General features: G+C 47.3%; 1 annotated feature.

Annotated features, from left to right (window-relative positions):
* Nucleotides 11,862–12,156: an enhancer, noted in NCBI's record as "tiled region #1050; K562 Activating DNase unmatched - State 8:EnhW". NCBI's record gives its function as "activates a minimal TATA promoter and a strong SV40 promoter by Sharpr-MPRA in K562 cells {active_cell/tissue: K562}" and the evidence as "EXISTENCE:reporter gene assay evidence [ECO:0000049][PMID:27701403]".

Genomic DNA, 19,357 nt, shown 5'->3' with positions numbered 1-19,357 from the left:
TCTCCGACCTGCTTGCTCATAGCTCTGTGTATCAGCTATGATAGGTGCCCATCGTCTGTCCTAGAATCACGTAGACCCTGTCACAAGATTACAATTCCCCTTAACTCCATAGATAACAACTTGAACATTATGAAACGTTTTCCCTTGGAGATATTCTTTCAGGTCCCGCATACCAGCATAATTACTGACACCAGTTGTTCTGAAGGAGCCCACAGAAGCAAGACTCAATGGGGACTGCAGTTTCCATATCCTGAGGATTTCAACCCCCTTACCCTGACCAGTCGATGACCCCAATTTTCCAGCCCCTCACCCTTCACAATGCCCTTTAAAATCCCAGCCCGGAACTCCTTGGGGAAGATGGATTTGTTGGTCTCCCTGCGTCTCCTCCTAGGCACCCTGCCATCTTTAAACCCTTTTTCTGCTGATAACCCTGCTTCCTCAGTGTAACTGGTCTGTTATTGCACAGCGGGCCTAGGCACCTGTTGGTCCTGTAATAATACCTCATGATTATTATGCCTTACAGCTCACAGAACTCTTTCATATCACGATCTTCCCATCTGTATTCATCCCTATTACACCAAAGAGGAAACAGGACTAGGGAGGGCCCTGGGTAATTCAGTTACATGGCAAAGACAGAATTAGAACTCAGTTCCTCCTGCTATGGCCCGGAATTGGCCTCCAGTACAGCCAGGGGCAGCTTTATCTTCATATTGAAGAAAAGGGGCAGGAGGCTGGGCACGGTGGCTCACGCCTGCAATCCCAGCACTTTGGGAGGCCGAGGCGGGCGGATCACGAGGTCAAGAATTAGAGACCAGCCTGGCCAACATGGTGAAACCCCGTCTCTAATAAAACTACAAAAATTAACCCGGCATGGTGGCGCGTGCCTGTAATCCCAGCTACTCCGGAGGCTGAGGCAGGAGAATCGCTTGAACCCAGGAGGCGGAGGTTGCAGCAAGCCGAGATCGCACCACTGCGCTCCAGCCTGGGTGACAGAGCAAGACTGTATCTCGGAAAAAAAAAAAAGGAAAAGGGACAGGAAACGGGAGAGGGATTCAATGGAAGGGACTCAAAAGTTAGGGATGTAATAGAACACTCATAACCGAGATCTATTTCAGCACTTTACAGTTTGAAAAGTGCTTTTGCTGGAGAACAGCTGTTTAAGGTAGACCTTCCTTTTTTTTTGACAAGAGTCTCACTCTGTCACCCAGGCTGGAGTGCAGTGGCGTGATCTCTGCTCACTGCCACCTCTGCCACCCAGATGCAAGTGATTCTTGTGCCTCAGCCTCCCGAGTCCCAAGTAGCTGGGACTACAGGTGTGCATCACCACGCCCAGCTAATTTTTGCATTTTTAGTAGATATGGGATTTCACCACATTGGCCAGGCTGGTCTCGAACTCCTGACCTCAGGTGATAAGCCTGCCTTGACCTCTCAAAGTCCTGGAATTACAGACATGAGCCACTGTGCCCAGCAGTACCTTCAAGGGTACTACCTTTTTCGCTTTCTCCAGTGACCCTGCCCAGTACTCCCTCCCCTCACATGGTAGAAGTATTTGGCTCCTTCCCCACACACCCACCCTAGTGTTATCAGCTCCTTGCCCTTGGCTGCAGGCTTTGGTTTGACTCAGCTGTAACTGCTGCCCCCCATAGCTTAGAAGCTCCTGCTGGCTCTGAAGGAAGGAGGCTAAATTTTGGGGCTTGTGTGTCCTGCTTCAGTAGCACAATCATAGCTCACTGCAGCCTTGACCTCCCGGGCTCATGGTATCCTCCTGCCTCAGCCTCCCAAGTAGCTGGAACCACAGGTGCGTGCTACCGCACCTAGCTAGCTGCTTCTTTTTTGTAGAGATGGGATCTTGCTCTGTTGCCCAGGCTGGTCTTGAACTCCTGGGCTTAGGCAATCGTCCCGCCTTGGCCTCCCAAAGTGCTGGGATGACAGGTGTGAGCCACCATGCCTAGCCTGTTGTGTGCTTTTTATGTAGTTACTCATTACATTTTCACAACCCTTGTGAGGCTGGTTCTGTAATTACGCCCGTTTTACAGATGAAGCAATGGAGATACAGAGAAGTTAAGTAACTTAAAATTAGGCAACAAGTCTTCCAGGAATTTTTTTTTTTTTTTTTTGAGACGAAGTCTTGCTCTGTCACCCAGGCTGGAGTGCAGTGCTGTAATGTCTGTTCACTGTAACCTCCTCCTCCCTGGTTCAAGCAGTTCGCTGCCTCAGCCTCCTGAGGCACTTCCCATATTATACTATCATTGCATATTTGTGCCCGTAATTGTGAGCTTACCAAGGGCAGAAGCCATGTCTGATTTATACCTGTGTCTGTATCCACAGCCCTGGCACCTAGCACACAGTGGGGCCACAGAAAATGTTCAATGCAAAGTTATTAGCCCTGATGCCTTTGGGATGTGACCTACTTCCCTTCCTTGTCTCTTGTCCAGAAGCCGAGGGTTCTCACGTAATTGAGACCCCTGGGGACTGTTATAACAACAGCCACCATCCCGAATGCATTTCACACTGAATTTCTGGCAAGAATTTCAAGATATTTTTTGAAGAGGAGACCTGAGGTACACCAGTCTAGGATGGCATGGCCAGTCAGCCCACCTAGCTCTCTGTAGAAAGAGTTTTCTGCATTTGCTGTGCAGAGGGTTTAGGCTCGGAGAGGGCAGTTGCAGGAGATATTCACGTTTCCCTTAAGGGAAACCTAGGATTGCAGGTGTGAGACACTGCACTTTTTTTTTTTTTTTTTGAGACTGAGTTTCGCTTTTGTTCCCCAGGTTGGAGTGCAATGGTGTGATCTTGGCTCACCGCAACCTCCGCCTCCCCGGTTCAAGCGATTCTCCTGACTCAGCGTCCCGAGTAGCTAGGATTACAGGCATGCGCTAGCATGCCCGGTTAATTTTGCATTTTTAGCAGAAACGGGGTTTCACCATGATGGTCAGGCTGGTCTCGAACTCCCGATCTCAGGTGATCCGCCTGAGATCTCAGCCTCCCAAAATGCTGGGATTACAGGCTTGAGCCACCACGCCCAGCCCACTGGGCCTTTTTGTTGTTGTTGTTTGTACAGACAGAGGTCTCACTATGTTGCCCAGGCTGGTCTCAAACTCTTGGGCTCAAGTGATCCTCGTGCCTGGGCCTCCCAAAGTGTTGGGATTCCAGGCATGAGCCAAGCCAAAAACCAGGAGATAAATACCATGTTATACTGGCCATTTCCTTTAATGTTCCCTTAAAGGAGACATTAATGGCTCCTACATTAGCATTTGAGAAGCAGCCAGTGTGGAGCTGGTGGAGCTCAGGCTGGAAGTCAGGAGGAAGCAGGACCTCACCCTGGCTCTTTCACTCGCTGCCTGAGTGATCTTGGGTAAGGGAGCCTCAGTTTCCTCATCTATAAAATGGGAACTAAGTCTTATCTTGCAGGGTTTTGATGAAGAAAACAGATAAGATTGACCGAGGGACGAATAGGATGTGAGGAGGTCACACTGTGAGTTAGTGGAAGAGCTAGGATTTGAACTTGGGTCATTAGATCTCTAAAGTTGTTCTATTTCTTTTTATTTTTTTGAGACAGAGTCTTACTCTGTCGCCCAGGCTGGAGTGCAGTGGCGTGATCTTGGCTCACTGCAACCTCCACCTCCCAGGTTCAAGTGATTCTCCTGCCTTAGCCTCCCCAGTAGCTGGGATTACAGGCACATGCCACCACGCCCTGCTAATTTTTGTATTTTTAGTAGAGACAGGGTTTCGCCATGTTGGCCAGGCTGCTCTCAAACTCCTGGCCTCAAGTGATCCATCTGCCTTGGCCTCCCAAAGTGCTGGGATTATAGGCGTGCGCCACTGCACCTGGCCAAGTTGTTCTATTTCTTTTTTTTTTTTGAGACGGAGTCTCGCTCTGTCGCCCAGGCTGGAGTGCAGTGGTGCGACCTTGGCTCACTACAAACTCTACCTTCCGAGTTCACGCCATTCTCCTGCCTCAGCCTCCCGAGTAGCTGGGACTACAGGCGCCCGCCACCACGTCTGGCTAATTTTTTTGTATTTTCAGTAAAGACGGGGTTTCACCATGTTAGCCAGGATGGTCTCGATCTCCTGACCTCATGATCCACCTGCCTTGGCCTTCCAAAGTGCTGGGATTACAGGCGTGAGCCCCTGTGCCCAGCCAGGTTGTTCTATTTCTACCACTACACACATCTCTACCATGGCAAGTATAACACGGTATTTACTTCCTGGTTTTTGGCCAGTCACAGCAGCTCACGCCTGTCATCCCAGCACTTTGGGAGGCCCAGGCAGGAGGATCACTTGAGCCCAAGAGTTTGAGACCAGCCTGGGCAACATAGTGAGACCCCTGTCTGTACAAACAAACAAACAAACAAACAAACAAACAAAAAAGAAAGGCTGGGTGCAGTGGCTCACACCTGTCATCCCAGCACTTTGGGAGGCCAAAGCAGGAGGATTGCTTGAGCCCACAAGTTAGAGACTAGCCTTTGGACAACATAGTGAGACCCCCATTTCTATTATATTTAAAAAAATATTTTTAAAAAAATCCTGTTTGTTGTGTCTGTCTCTCTTCCCAGACTGTGAGCTTCTTGAGGGACAGCACCATGTAGAGTCCTGCACAGAGTAGGCCTTCAGGAAATGTCTGGAAGGAAGGGAGGCAGGCAGGCAGGCTCTTTGAATTTTTTGGCTTTTGGCCGAAGTTCTTACTCCTTTTTGTCATATCTGACATATCTGATGAAACCTAGGGACTCCTCATGTAAATGATGCTTTTTTTTTTTTTTTTTTTTTTTTGAGACAGGGTCTCATTCTGTTGCCCAGGCTGGAGTGCACTGGTACAATCATAGCTCACTGCAGCCTCCAACTCCTGGGCTCAGGCGATCCTCCTGCTTCAGCATCCCGAGTACCTAGGACTACAGACACGTGCCACCACACCTGGCTAATTTTTGTATTTTTTTTTTTTTTTTTTGTAGAGACAGGGGCTCACTATGTTGTCTAGTCTGGTCTCCAACTCCTGGCCTCAAGCAATCCTCTTGCCTGGGTCTCTCAAAGTGTTGGAATTAAAGGAGTGAGCCACCACACCTGGCCAAGAATGTTGCTTTTTAAATGGATAAAATAAAATACACTGAATTACCAAGGAAGCCTGTAGTTATCAAAATATTAATAAAAACAAAATCGTGCCTGTAATCCCAGCACTTTGGGAGGCTGAGGCAGGTGGATCACCTGAGGTTGGGAGTTCAAGACCAGTCTGACCAACATGAAGAAACTCCTGTCTCTACTAAAAATACAAAAAAATTAGCTGGGTGTGGTGGTGGGCAACTGTAATCCCAGCTACTTGGGAGGCTGAGGCAGGAGAATCACTTGAACCCAGGAGGTGGAGGTTGCGGTGAGCCAAGATTGCACCATTGCACTCCAGCCTGGGCAACAAGAGCAAACCTCTATCTCAAAAAAAAACAAAAACAAAAACCATACTCTATGTGCTGCTTTATGGATGCATTAAATAACAAGATCTAACAGCAGGCCTGATAGCTACCATAATTTTGAAGCATAAATGATTTTTTTTGAGTTTTCTATAAGTGGAACATGGTATGAACATACCTGTGACTTCTACTGGTGACAAAGTTACTGGTACTGGTAATAAGACTGTGTTTCATTGCCTATATCCATAACTGATAAAATTGCTAAAGTTCAGTTAAAGATTAAGTTAACATCGCTCATGACGCAGCAGTGGGCATGAAAAATAAAGTTTTTTTTTTTTTGGAGACGGAGTCTTCCTCTGTGCCCAGGCTGGAGTGCAATGGCGTGATCTCGGCTCACTGCAACCTCTGCCTCTCGGGTTCAAGTGATTCTCCTGTCTCAGCCTCCCGAGTAGCTGGGGCTACAAGCACGTGCCGCCACGCCTGCCTAATTTTTTGTATTTTTAGTAGAGACGGGGTTTTGCCATGCTGGCCAGGCTGGTCTTGAACTCCTGACCTCAAGTGATCCACCCGCCCCAGCTTCCCAAACTGCTGGGATTATAGGTGTGAGCCACCGAGCCCAGCCAAAAGAATAATTAAGGTTTTACCCAGCAGGAAGCAGAATATGAATCAGGAGTGGGCTAAAAATAGCATCTTGAGAACTTGGGATCCTGAGCTGTTGTCACTGAGGTCTGGGGCTTGGAAAAAGGAAGAGATGGGGTGGTCCCTTCCTCTCTGTGCCTGTCAGGTCACCCTAAGAGTTCCGGTTCTTCTTCTAGACATATACTCTGAAAAAAGATGTAGGCAAATCGGAACTTGTGCAATAAAAAGTGACCAGGACTGGGACAGAGGGGAACCTTCCAAAGATGTCTGATGAGGAACAGTTGCAGGGACCAGGAGGCCTCCCTGGAGAAGCTTCAGGGGTCATGGCCACTGGCTGAACTATCTGAAGGGCTTACTGGGAGGAGAGGAAGATGATTGATTCTGTGTCACTGCAGAGGGGAGAGCTAAGGCAGAAGGCTAGAAATGATGCGGAGACACACTTGACTTAAGAGATAACTTTCTTCCTATTTTTTTTTTTTTGGAGACAGAGTCTTGCACGTCGCCCAGGCTGGAGCGCAGTGGTGTGATCTTGGCTCGCTGCAACCTCCGCCTCCCGGGTTCAAGCGATTCTCCTGCCTCAGCTTTCTGAGTAGCTGGAGTTACAGGCATGCACCACCAGGCTCAGCTAATTTTTGTATTTTTAATAGATATGGGGTGTTCACCATGTTGGCCAGGCGGGTCTCAAGCTCCTGACCTTAAGGGATCTGCTCGCCTCGGCCTCCCAAAGTGCTGGGATTACAGGCGTGAGCTACCACACCTGGCCACTGATTTATTAATTTGGTAAGTATTTATTTAGTGCCTCCTGTGTGCCAGGCCTTGTGCTGAGCACTTTGGGTTTACAAAAGGAGGACAACAGAAGAGTCTTTGTAGAGGACTCTGTAGTTTACAAAGCACTTTCCAAAAGCACCACTTACCACTTTTTTTTTTTTTTTTTTTGAGACAGTTTCACTCTTGTTGCCCAGGCTGTAGTACCGTGGCGAGATCTCGGCTCACTGCAACCTCTGCTTCCCGGGTTCAAGCGATTCACGTGCCTCAGCCTCCCAAGTAGCTGGGATTACAGGCGTGCACCACCATGCTTGGCTAATTTTTTGTATATTTTTTTAATTTTAATTTTTTAAAATTTATTTTATTCTTTTATTATTTTTATTTTTATTTTTATTTTTTTTTTGAGACGGAGTCTTGCTCAGTCGCCCAGGGTGGAGTGCAGTGGCACGATCTCGGCTCACTGCAACCTCCGACTCCCGGGTTCACGCCATTCTCCTGCCTCAGCCTCCTGAGCAGCTAGGACTACAGATGCCCCCTACAACGCCCAGCTAATTTTTTTTTTTGTATTTTTAGTAGAGATGGGGTTTCACCATGTTAGCCAGGATGGTCTCGATCTCCTGACCTCGTGATCTGCCCGCCTCGGCCTCCCAAAGTGCTGGGATTACAGGCGTGAGCCACCGCGCCCGGCCATGTATTTTTAGTAGAGACGGGGTTTCACCAGGTTGGCCAGGCTGGTCTCCAACTCCTGACCTCAGGTGATGCACACACCTCAGCCTCCCAAGGTGCTGGGACCGCAGTCATGTGCCATCACACCCAGCTATTTTTTTTTTTTTTTATTTTTTCCTAGAGAAGCGGTCTCACTATGTTGCCCACGCTGGTCTCAAACTTCTGGGCTCAAGCCATCCTCCCACCTCAGCCTCCCAAACTGCTGGGATTACAGGCATGAGTCACCACGCCTAACCCATGTTTAATTTTTACAACAAATCTGGAAATTGGATATAACAGCTCCATTTTTAGAAGAATCTAAAGGCTCAGAGAGGTAAAGTGACTTGGCAAGCTCACACAGCCATAGAGCAGCAGAATCCACATCAGCTCACCTGACGGTAGGTTCGTGGTTCTTCTTGCTACACCAGGGGCTCCTAAACTTTGTGGATTGATAGGCCCCCCGCAACCTGCCTACGCTATATGTTTTCACTTTGTAACTTGGGGAGGAAGAGGAGGAACTTGGCATTTGCAATTGAGTCACTGCACAAGGGAAAAACTGTGGGTGGGAGGGTGGGGCTGTGATATATCTTTTTTTTTTTTTTAATCGAGAGAGTCTCTCTCTGTCCCCCAGGCTGGAGTGCAGTGGTGCGATCTAGGCTCACTGTAACCTCCGCCTCCCGGGTTCAAGAGATTCTCCTGCCTCAGCCTCCTGAGTAGCTGGAATTACAGGTGAATGCCACGACACCGGCTAATTTTTGTATTTTTAGTAGAGACGGGGTTTTGCCATGTTGGCCAGGCTCGTCTTGAACTCCTGACCTCAAGTGATCCATAGGAGTATAGGCAGTTCATATTTGAATTGTGACATGGCTTCAAGTTTACTTCCTGGAATGTTATAGACTAAAACTATTTTTTTGTTTTGAAACAGGGTCTTACTCTGTTGCCCAGGCTGGAGTGCAGTGGCATGATCATAGCTCACTGCAACCTCCACCTCCTGGGCTCAAGTGTTCCTCTTGCCTCGGCCTCCCAAGTGGCTGGTACTACAAGCACATGTCACCATGCACAGCTAATTTTTTTAATTTTTTTTTTTTGTAGAGATGGGGTTTCGCCAATCTGGTCTCAGACTCCTGGGCTCAAGCCATCCTCTTGCCTCAGCCTCCCAAAGTGTTGTGGTTATAGGTGTGAGTCACCGTACCTGGCTCCAAACCACTTTTGAAGCAAATAGATCTTACTACACATTCTACAGCAGGACAAGCAACCCACCACAAACGAATCAATCATGACGAAGCTAAATGAACAGCAGTCTATAATATAAAAACAAGAGCAGCTCAAGTGTAGAGTATAACCCAGGCGGCAAAGGCATTGGTCCTGTATTTGTGGGCACGTGTGCTGAAATTCCTGCAAGGCAGCCAGCCTTCTTGGAAAGATGTTGAGGAAACATTCTAAATACTAGAAATGTGCTGGTTTCTATTTATTTTATTTTTATTTTTATTTTTGAGATGGAGTCTTACTTTATCCCCCCGGCTGGAGTGCAGTGGCGTGATCTTGGCTCACTGTACCCTCCACCTACAAGGTTCAAGCGATGCTTCTGCCTCAGCCTCCTGAGTAGCTGGGATTATAGGCACCCGTCACCACGCCTGGCTAATGTTTTTGTATTTTTAGTAGAGACAGGGTTTCACCATGTTGGTCAGGCTGATCTCAAACTCCTGACCTCAGGTGATCCACCCGCCTTGGCCTCCCAAAGTGTTGGGATTATAGGTTTGAGTCACCATGCCTGGCCACAGCCAGCCTTCTTGGAAAGGTGTTGAGGAAGCATTCTAAATGCCAGAAATCTGCTGGTTTCAATTTATCAATTTAAACCTATATGACCTTCTATAATCCAGAAATTTATCAATAAGTAGCTCACGTCTGTAATCCCAGTGCTTTAGGAGGCTGAGGCAGGATCGCTTGAGGCCAAGCGTTTGAGACCAATCTGGGCAACATAGTGAGACTCCATCTCTACAAAAAATTTTAAAAATAAGCCTGGCATGGTAGCGCATGCCTGTAGTCCTGGCTACTCGGGAGGCTGGTGGGAGGATTGCTTGAGCCCAAAAGTTGGAGGCTGCAATGAGCTGATATCGCACCACCTCACTCCAGCTTGGGCAATAGACTGAAGAAAAAAAAAAAGGTAACTTTAGCATATAGAGAAATGAAAGTAATGTAAATGGAATTGGTTGTAATTCACCCATAAAGACCAAAGTTCTGTCTCTAAGATCTGAGTGCTATGGGGGATTTAAAGCTGACAAACACCAAGCATCACAGAACAGAGTAATTAATTTCTCCATTCACTCAAAAACATTTATAAAAATGTTATAGGCTGGGCATTGTGGCTCACGCCTGTCATCCCAGCATTTCGGGAGGCCGAGGCAGGTGGATCACGAGGTCAGGACTTCGAGACCAGCCTGGCCAACATGGTGAAACCCCGTCTCTACTAAAGATACAAAAAGTTAGGCGGACGTGGTAGCACGCGCCTGTAATCCCAGCTACTCAGGAGGCTGAGGTAGGAGAATTGCTTGAACCTGGGAGGCAGAGGCTGCAGTGAGCCGAGATCACGCCATTGCACTCCAGCCTGGGCGACACGGCGAGACCCCGTCTCAACCTTGTTCTGACTTTGCTGTAATAAGCATGCATGGTTAAGGCAATGAAAGCAATATATTGTAGAATTAACACTGAGCCTTGATCATCTTTACTTTCCCAAATTATTCCATTCCCCCATTCCCCACCTCATGCAGTATACATGGCAAAGGAAGATATTAAAATTTGAGCCAGTGATGAAAAATATTTATTTTTGACACATCAGCATTTTTTTGGTAAACAGAAGTTCTAGCTATATTGCCCAGGCTGGTCTCGAACTCCTGGCCTCAAGCAATCCTCCTGCCTTGGCCTTCCAAAGCACTGGGATTACAGACATGACTATATTGGCATTAAAAAAAAAAGTTTTATTAAAATTTTATTTACTGAGGCCGGGTGTGGTGGCTCACTCCTGTAATCCCAGCGCTTTGGGAGGCCAAGGCAGGAGGACTGCTTGAGGTCAGGAATTCAAGACCAGCCTGGTCAACATGCCAAAACCTCGTCTCTACTAAAAATACAAAAATTAGCCAGGTGTGGTGGCAGGCACCTGTGGTCCCAGCTACTCGGGAGGCTGAGGCAAGAGAATCGCTTGAACCCAGAAGGTGGAGGTTGCAGTGAGCCAAGATTGTGCCACTGCACTCCAGCCTGGGCAACAGAATGAAACTCCATCTTGAAAAAACCAAAAAGGTTTGATTTACTTACAATAAACTACATATAATTACAGTATAGATTTTGATACATTTTGACATATATATATACACACATATATATACACATATATACATATACATACATATATACACATATATATACATATACATACATATATATATACACACACCCATGAAACTATCACCACAATTTAGATAATGACATACCCACCACCCCCAAAAATTATATCTCACCCCTCTATAATCCCTTCTACTCTATAATCCCTGCCTTCTTTATCCCCAGGCAACCAATGGCTGCTTTGTGTCACTGTAGATTCGTTTAGATTTTCTAAAATGTTATATGAATGGAATCGTATAATATGCACTTGTGGTTTTGGCCTAGTTTCGTTCACTCAGCCAGATGATCTGACATTCATCATGTTGTTGCTTGTATCAATACTTCTTCCCGGCTGGGTGCAGTGGCTCATGCCTGTAATCCCAGCACTTTGGGAGGTTGAGGAGGGAGGATTGTTTGAGCCCAGGAGGTCCAGGCTGCAACAGTGAGCCATGATTGCGTCACTGCACTCCAGCCTGGGTGACAGAGCAAGACCCTGTCTAACATACACACACACACAGAGAGAGAGAGAGAGAGAGAGAGACAGACAGACAGATAGACAGACAGACAGAGAGAGAGTGTGTTGCGTGACTCAGCCTTTAAGCTTAGCTTTCCCTGTGGCATAAGTTTCGGGGGTTCTGAGATTTCACATTTTCCCTTTACAGGTGCATCGTAGGGTTTAGAAGGTGATATCTCACTTTGCACAGCTGAGACAGCTCTGGGACCAGTGCCAGGCATCCCACTTAGCCAGTTCTCGGGTGGTTCCTGGATTGACCCCCAACCTCCACTGCACATCTGCAGACACCTTGGGAAGGCACGGAATGACTGCAGGGATGGAATGGTTGAGGGTTGGGTGGGACCTGGACCTCATCCACCACCTGGGCATCCCAGGGGAGCAGGACATCAGGTCCCTCCAGCCCCCAACCCCGGGTGGTCCCAGCTTCTCAGGCCCGTGCCCCAGGGAGCAGTGCGGCTCCTTGTTCAACAGGAGGCTGTCATCGGTAGAACGCAGGGGTTGGTTGCCAGCTGCGGACTCCGGCTCATTTAACTGCTCTGCAGCCCCCACGCCGGGTCCTCACTGCCCCGTGGTAGATGGACAGCTGGGTTTGGCTTCCTCTGGTCTGATGGAGAAATGGCCTCATCCCAAAGCAGAATACTGTCCTCTGCTGGCTGGCCTGTGACATGGCTCACTTACAGACGATGGCTTTAAACAGGCACCCCAATGCCCCAATTTCCCCAGGTCCATCGTACCTTCGGGCAATCCCCCAAAGTTATGAAACTGCAGCCTGCCTTCCCTAGCATTCATGTGCCATGCTCTCTTTCCCCACATTCATAGGATGGGCACAGTCTGCAGGTCCACTGCCCAAGCACACATCCCCTTGGGAAGAAATGCCAACTCCCTCCCAACCCTGCTGGCTGGCATCCCTTAGATGTGTCCAACACTTGCCTTCAGCAGGGCATGGGAAGCGAGACAGGCAGGAGTCAAATAGTGTAGGCAAGCCCTTGGAGGCCATGGCGAGGAAAGTAGATGCTGTTTCCAAGGACAGTGGGAAGTTGCTTAGAGAGGTTAAGCTGGGAGGGTAATGACTAATGACCCATTTATATTTTCGAAGGAATGGGAAACAAGCACTCAAAAACATTGCTGATGAGATCGAAAATGGGTGCAATTTTTTTTTTTTTTTTTGAGACCGACTCTCGCTCTGTCACCCAGGCTGGAGTGCAGTGGTGCAATCTCGGCTCACTGCAGCTTCCATCTCCCAGGTTCAAGTGATTCTCCTGCCTCAGCCTCCTGAGTAGCTAGGATTATAGGTGCACGCCAGCACGGCTGGCTAATTTTTGTTTGTTTGTTTTTTGAGATGGAGTCTCCCTCTGTCACCCAGGCTGGAGTGCAGTGGCGCGATCTCGGCTCACTGCAACCTCTGCCTCCTGGGTTCAAGCAATTCTCCTGTCTCAGCCGCCCAAGTAGCTGGGACCACAGGCACCCACAACCACACCTGGGTAATATTTGTATTTTTAGTGGAGACGAGCTTTTACCATATTGGTCAGGTTAGTCTCGAACTCCTGACCTCAGGTGATCCACCTGCCTTGGCCTCCCAAAAGGCTGGGATTACAGTCATGAGCCACCGCACCCAGCTGGGTGCAATTTCTATAGAAGGGAATCTGACAATATCTATCAAAATGACAAATGTACATATATTTGATCAATTTCACTTCTAGGATTCTAACTTGTAGATATCCTTGCTTAAGTGCAAAGTGGTTTAAGAAGTTATTCATTGCAGCATTGACTGCCAGAATAAATGATTAGAGATGACCCAGATGTCGATCAATGTGGGAATGATTAATAAATTATGGCGCGTCCTTTTTTTTTTTTTTTTTGAGACATATTGCTGTGGTGGGATCTCAGCTCACTGCAACCTCCGCCTCCCAGATTCAAGCGATTCTCCTGCCTCAGCCTCCCAAATAGCTGGGATTACAGGTGTGTGCCACCATGACCTGCTAATTTTTTGTATTTAGTAGAGACGGGGTTTCACCACGTTGGCCAGGCTGGTCTCAAACTCCTGACCTCAGGTAATCCACCCACCTCAGCCTCCCAAAGTGCTGGGATTACAGGCATGAGCCACCATGCCTGGCCAATAAATTATGGTGTGTCCTTTTGAAGTAATCCTCTGCAGTCATAAAACCAAAAAAAAAAAAAAACCCCAAACTAAGGAAGCTAGTATCCATACAGAATGCTACCTAAAATATTTTATTGAGAGAGGCAAGGTTCCTAACAGTGATTATAGTATGTTACACAAATAACAAAAGGCTTTAAAAGGTATAGGAGAGGCTAGGCACAGTGGCTCATGTCTGTAATCCCAGCACTTTGGGAAGCTGAGGTGGGAGGATCACTTGAGCCTGGGAGTTCGAGGCTACAGTGAGCTATGTTCACAACACTACACTCCAGCCTGGGTGACAGAGAGAGACCCTGTCTCAAATATATATATATTTTGAAACAGGCCAGGCACAGTGGTTCATGCCTGTAATCACATTGCTTTGGGAGGCTGATGCAGGAGGATCTCTTGAGTCCAGGAGTACAAGACCAGCCTTGGCAACATAGTGAGATACTGTCTTTACAAAAATATTTTTTATGTTAGCCATGCATGGTGATGTGTGCCTGTAGTCCCAACTACTTAGGGGGCTGAGGCAGGAGGATCGCTTGAGCCAAGGAGGTCAAGGCTACGGTGAGCTATGATCATGCCACTGCCCTCTAGCCTGAGTGAGACACAGTAGGACCTTGACTCAAAAAAAAAATTAATTAATTTAAAAAGAAACAAAAAAGATTACTCTGGCTGTTGTGTGGAAGGAGGCAAGAGTGAAAATGGTTCATTTCACCATTTTTTTTCTTCCCTTTTTTTTTTTTTGAAACTAGAGTCTTGCTCTGTCACCCTGGCTGGAGTGCAGTGGTGTGATCTTGGCTCACTGCATCCTCTGCCTCCCAGGTTCAAACAATTCTCCTGCCTCAGCCTCCCAGTAGCTGGGACTACAGGTGCCCACCAGCATGCCCGGCGAGTTTTTTGTATTTTTAATAGAGACAGGGTTTCACCATGTTGGCCAGGCTGGTCTCGAACTCCTGACCTCCAGTGATCCACCCACCTCAGCCTCCTAAAGTGCTGGGATTACAGGCATGAGCTACCTGTCTGGCTCATCTCACCATTTTCTGTAGGTGGTGCAGGAATCCTGGAAAGAGATGACCATGGTTGAATGAGGGGAGTAGCAGCTGAGGAGGGGAGAAGCAGGTGGATTTCAAATATACCTGGAAGTGGAGCCTATGAGGTGGCTGATGGAGTGGGTATGGGGGTAAGAGAAAGAGAGAAATCAGGCCGAGTGCGATGGCTCATGCCTGTAATCCCAGCACTTTGGGAGGCCGAAGTGGGTGGATCACTTGAGCTCAGGAGTTTGAGACCAGCCTGGGAAACATAGAAGACCTCATCTCTACAAAAAGTACAAAAATTAGCAGGGCATTGTGGCATGAACCTGTAGTCCCAGCTACTTGGGAGAGTGAGGTGGGAGGATTGCTTGAGCTCGGGAGGTCGAGGCTGCAGTGAGCCCTGATTGTGCCACTGCACTCCAGCCTGGGTGACAGAGTAAGACACTGTCTCAAAAAAAAAAAAAAAAAAGAAAGAAATCAAGGAGCACTCCTACATGAATAGTCGTGCCCTTGAGTTTGGGGGAAGCTAGAGGGAGAAGAAGATTGGCATTGGAGTAGGGGTAGGAAAGGTACCATTGCATTTTGGAGAGGACAGATTGAGGGAAGCTGAGAGGGCAGGGAAGGCATGGGGGCAGAGAAGCAGGATAATTGAGAATTAATCTATTTAGGCCAAGTGTGGTGGCTCACACCTGTAATCCCAGCACTTTGGGAGGCCGAGGCAGGCGGATCACGAGAGGCCAGGAGTTCGAGACCAGCCTGGCCAACATGGTGAAACCCCGTTACTATTAAAAATACAAAAATTAGCTGGGTGAGGTGGTATGCACCTGGATCCCAGCTACTTGGGAGGCTGAGGCAGCAGAATGGCTTGAACCTGGGAGTCAGAGGTTACAGTGAGCTGAGATAGTGCCAATGCACTCCAGCCTGGGTGACAGGGCGAGACTCTGTCTAAAAAAAAAAAAATAAAGAGCAGTGAGTCTATTCAAAGTGATTCAAGGTGACAAAATGGTGCAGAACTGGTGCAAGGACAGAAATGTGGACCAATGGAATAGAAGAAAGAACACAGAAATAAACCCTCATATTTAAAGTCAATTGCTTTTTGACATGAGGACCTAGACCATTCAATGGGGAAAAGGCAACATTTTCAACAAACGGTGCTGAGAAAAGTGGGATATCCATATGCAAAAAAAAAAAAAAAAAAATGCCATTTGACCCTTCCCTCACACCATATACAGAAATTAACTCCAAATGAGTCAAAGACCTAAATATAAGAGGTAAAACTTATAAGACTCTTAGAAGAAAACACATTGGCTTTGGCAATGATTTCTTGGATGTGTCACCAAAAGCCATAAAAAGGCAATAAAAGAAAAAATAGAGAAGTTGAACTTCATCAAAATTTAAAACTTAAAAAAAATTTTTTTTTTTTAAATAGAGACAAGGTCTCACTATTTTGCCCAGGCTGGTCTCAAACTCCTGGGCTCAAGCAGTCCTCCTGCCTTGGCCTCCCAAAGTGCTGGGATTACAGGTGTAAGACACTGTGCCCGACCACCAAATTTTCAACCTTTGTGCATCAAAAGAAACTATCAAGAGAGTAAAAAGACAACCCACAGAAAGGGAGGGAATATTTACAAATCAAATCCAAAATATATAAAGAATTCCTACAACTCAACAACAAACAAACCAACTGAAAACTGGTGCTGGGTACGGTGGCTCACGCCTGTAATCCCAGCACTTAGGGAGGCCAAGGCGGATGGATCGCTTGAGGTCACGAGTTTGAGACCAGCCTGGCCAACGCGGTGAAACCCTGTCTCTACTAAAATACAAAAATAGCCGACCCCGTCTCTACTAAAAATACAAAAATAGCCGGGCGTGGTGGCCCAAGCCTGTAATCCCAGCTACTTGGGAAGCTAAGATAGGAGAATCGCTTGAACCCTAGAGGTGGAGGTTGCAGTAAGCTGAGATCATGCCACTGCACTCCAGCCTGGGCAACAGGAGCGAAACTCCGTCTCAAAAAAAAGAAAGAAAGAAATAAAGAAAGAAAATTGGGCAAAGAACTTGAATAGATATTTCTCCAAAGAAAATAGACAAGTGCCAATAAGCACATAAAAAGATGCTCAACATCACTAATCATTAAGGAGATTCAAACTGAAAAGACAATGAGATACCACTTCACACCTTATTAGGATAGCTATGACATATTTTTAAAAAAACAGAAAATAACAAGCGCCGGCAAGGATGTGGCAAGACTGGAATCCTTTTGCACTGCTGATGGAAACGTAAAATGATGCAGCTGCTACAGAAGACAGTTTGGCAGTTCCTCAAAAAGCTAAGACATAGAATTACCATATGACCTAGTAATTCCACTACTGTGGGTAATTCCACTAGTGTGTGTACTTCCACTTGCAATAATGGATAGGACAGCTAGACAGAAAATCAGCATGGTTATGGAAGACTGGAACAACGCTATCAACCAACTAAACCTGACAGGCACAGATAGAACATTCAACAACAGCAGACTATATAGTCTTCTCCAGTATACGTGGAACATTCTCCAGGATAAACAGAACACACATTAGGCCATAAAGTGAATCTCAATAAATGTAAGAGGATTGAAATGATGTGGCTCGTGCCTATAATCCCAGCACTTTGGGAGGCCAAGATGGGAAGATTGCTTGGGCCCAGGAGTTTGACAGCAGCCTGGGCAACATGGCAAAACCCTGTCTCTGCTAAAAATACAAACAGTTGGCCGGACGCGGTGGCTCATTCCTGTAATCCCAGCACTTTGGAAGGCCGAGGCAGGCGGATCATGAGGTCAGGAGTTGGAGACCAGCCTGGCCAACATAGTGAAACCCCGTCTCTACTAAAAACACAAAAATTAGCCGGGTGTGGTGGTACGTGCCTGTAGTCCCAGCTACTCGGCAGGCTGAGGCAGAAGAATTGCTTGAACCAGGGAGGCGGAGGTTGCAGTGAGCCAAGATCACGCCACTGCACTCCAGCCTGGGCAACAGAGCGAGACTGCGTCTCAAAAAAAAAAGAAAAAAAAAAGCAAACAGTTAGCCAGCTGTGGTGGCACATGGCTGTAGTCCCAGCTACTAGGGAGGCTGAGGTGGGAGAATCTCTTGAGCCTGGGAGGCAGAGGTTGCAGTGAGCCGAGATCCCCACCACTGCACTCCAGCCTGGACGACAAAGTGAGACCTTGCCTCAAAAAGAAAAAGAAAATTGGCCGGGCGCGGAGGTTCATCCCTGTAATCCCAGCACTTTGGGAGGCTGAGGCGGGTGGATCACAAGATCAGGAGATCAAGACCATCCTGGCTAACATGGTGAAACCCTGTCTCTACTAAAAATACAAAAAATTAGCCGGGCTTGGTGGCGGGCACCTGTAGTCCCAGCTACTTGGGAGGCTGGGGCAGGAGAATGGCATGAACCCGGGAGGCAGAGGTTGCAGTGAGCCGAGATGGCGCCACTGCACTCCAGCCTGGGTGACAGAGCGAGACTCCGTCTCAAAAAAAAAAAGAGAAAAAGAAAATCATGCCAAGTATGTTCTCCCTATTACAGTGAAATGAAATTAGAATTCAATAACAGAAAAAAAATGTGGAAATTAAACAACACACTTCTCAATATCCAATGGATCCAAGGAGAAATCACCAAGGGAATTAGAAAATAGAGCTGGGCGCGGTGGCTCACACCTTTTACCAGCACTTTCGGAGGCCAAGGTGGGAGGATTGTTTGAGCCCAGGAGTTTGAGACCAGCCTGGGCAACATAGTGAGACACTGTCTCCACACACACATAAAAAAAGCAATTATAAAATACTTCCAGATGCTTAAAAATATACTAAAATTTGTAAAATGTATTAAAAACAGTGCTCAGAGGCTGGGTGCAGTGGCTCATGCCTGTAATCCCAGCACTTTGGGAGGCTGAGGTGGGTGGATCACTCGAGGTCAGGAGTTCAAGACCAGACTGGACAACATGGTGAAACTCCATCTCTACTAAAAATACAAAAATTAGCTGGGGGTTCTGGCATGCCCCTATAATCCCAGCTACTCAGGAGGCTGAGGCACGAGAATCGCTTGAACCTGGGAGGTAGAGGTTGCAGTGAGCTGAGTTCACGCCGCTGCACTCCAGCCTGGGCCACAGAGTGAGACTCCATCTGAAAAAAAAAAAAAAAAATATTAGAGTGGAAATAAATGAAGTAGAGAATAGGAAATCAAGACACAAGATGAATGAAACCAATATTGGCATATTAGTTTTCTAGGGCGCTGCTGTAAAAAAAAAATTTACTACCAACCAGGCGGCTTAAAACAACAGAAATTTAGGTTTCTCACAGTTATATAGATATCTGTAATCTAGGTGTCAGCTAGGTTGGTTCCTTGGAGAGGTTCAGAGGGAGAAATTGTTCCATGCCCCTCTCCTAGATTTGGCGTTTGCTAACAATTCTTGGCATTCCACGGCTTGTAGACGCATCACTCCGTTCTCTGTTTCCATCTTCACACAGCATTCTCCACTGTGTGTCTGTGTCCACATTTCTTTTTTTGTTGTTGTTGAGACGGAGTCTTGCTCTGTCACCCAGGCTGGAGTACAGTGGCGGGATCTCGGCTCACTGCAAGCTCTACCTCCCAGGTTCACGCCATTCTCCTGCCTAAGACTCCCGAGTAGCTGGGACTACAGGCGCCCGCCACCGTGCCCAGCTAATTTTTTGTATTTTTAGTAGAGATGGGGTTTCGCCATGTTAGCCAGGATGGTCTTGATCTCCTAACGTTGTGATCCGCCCACCTTGGCCTCCCAAAGTGCTGGGAT

Source organism: Homo sapiens, chromosome 7 (assembly GCF_000001405.40).
Source record: "Homo sapiens chromosome 7, GRCh38.p14 Primary Assembly".
Taxonomy (NCBI): Eukaryota; Metazoa; Chordata; class Mammalia; order Primates; family Hominidae; genus Homo; species Homo sapiens.
This window is presented reverse-complemented; position numbering and strand designations above follow the sequence as displayed.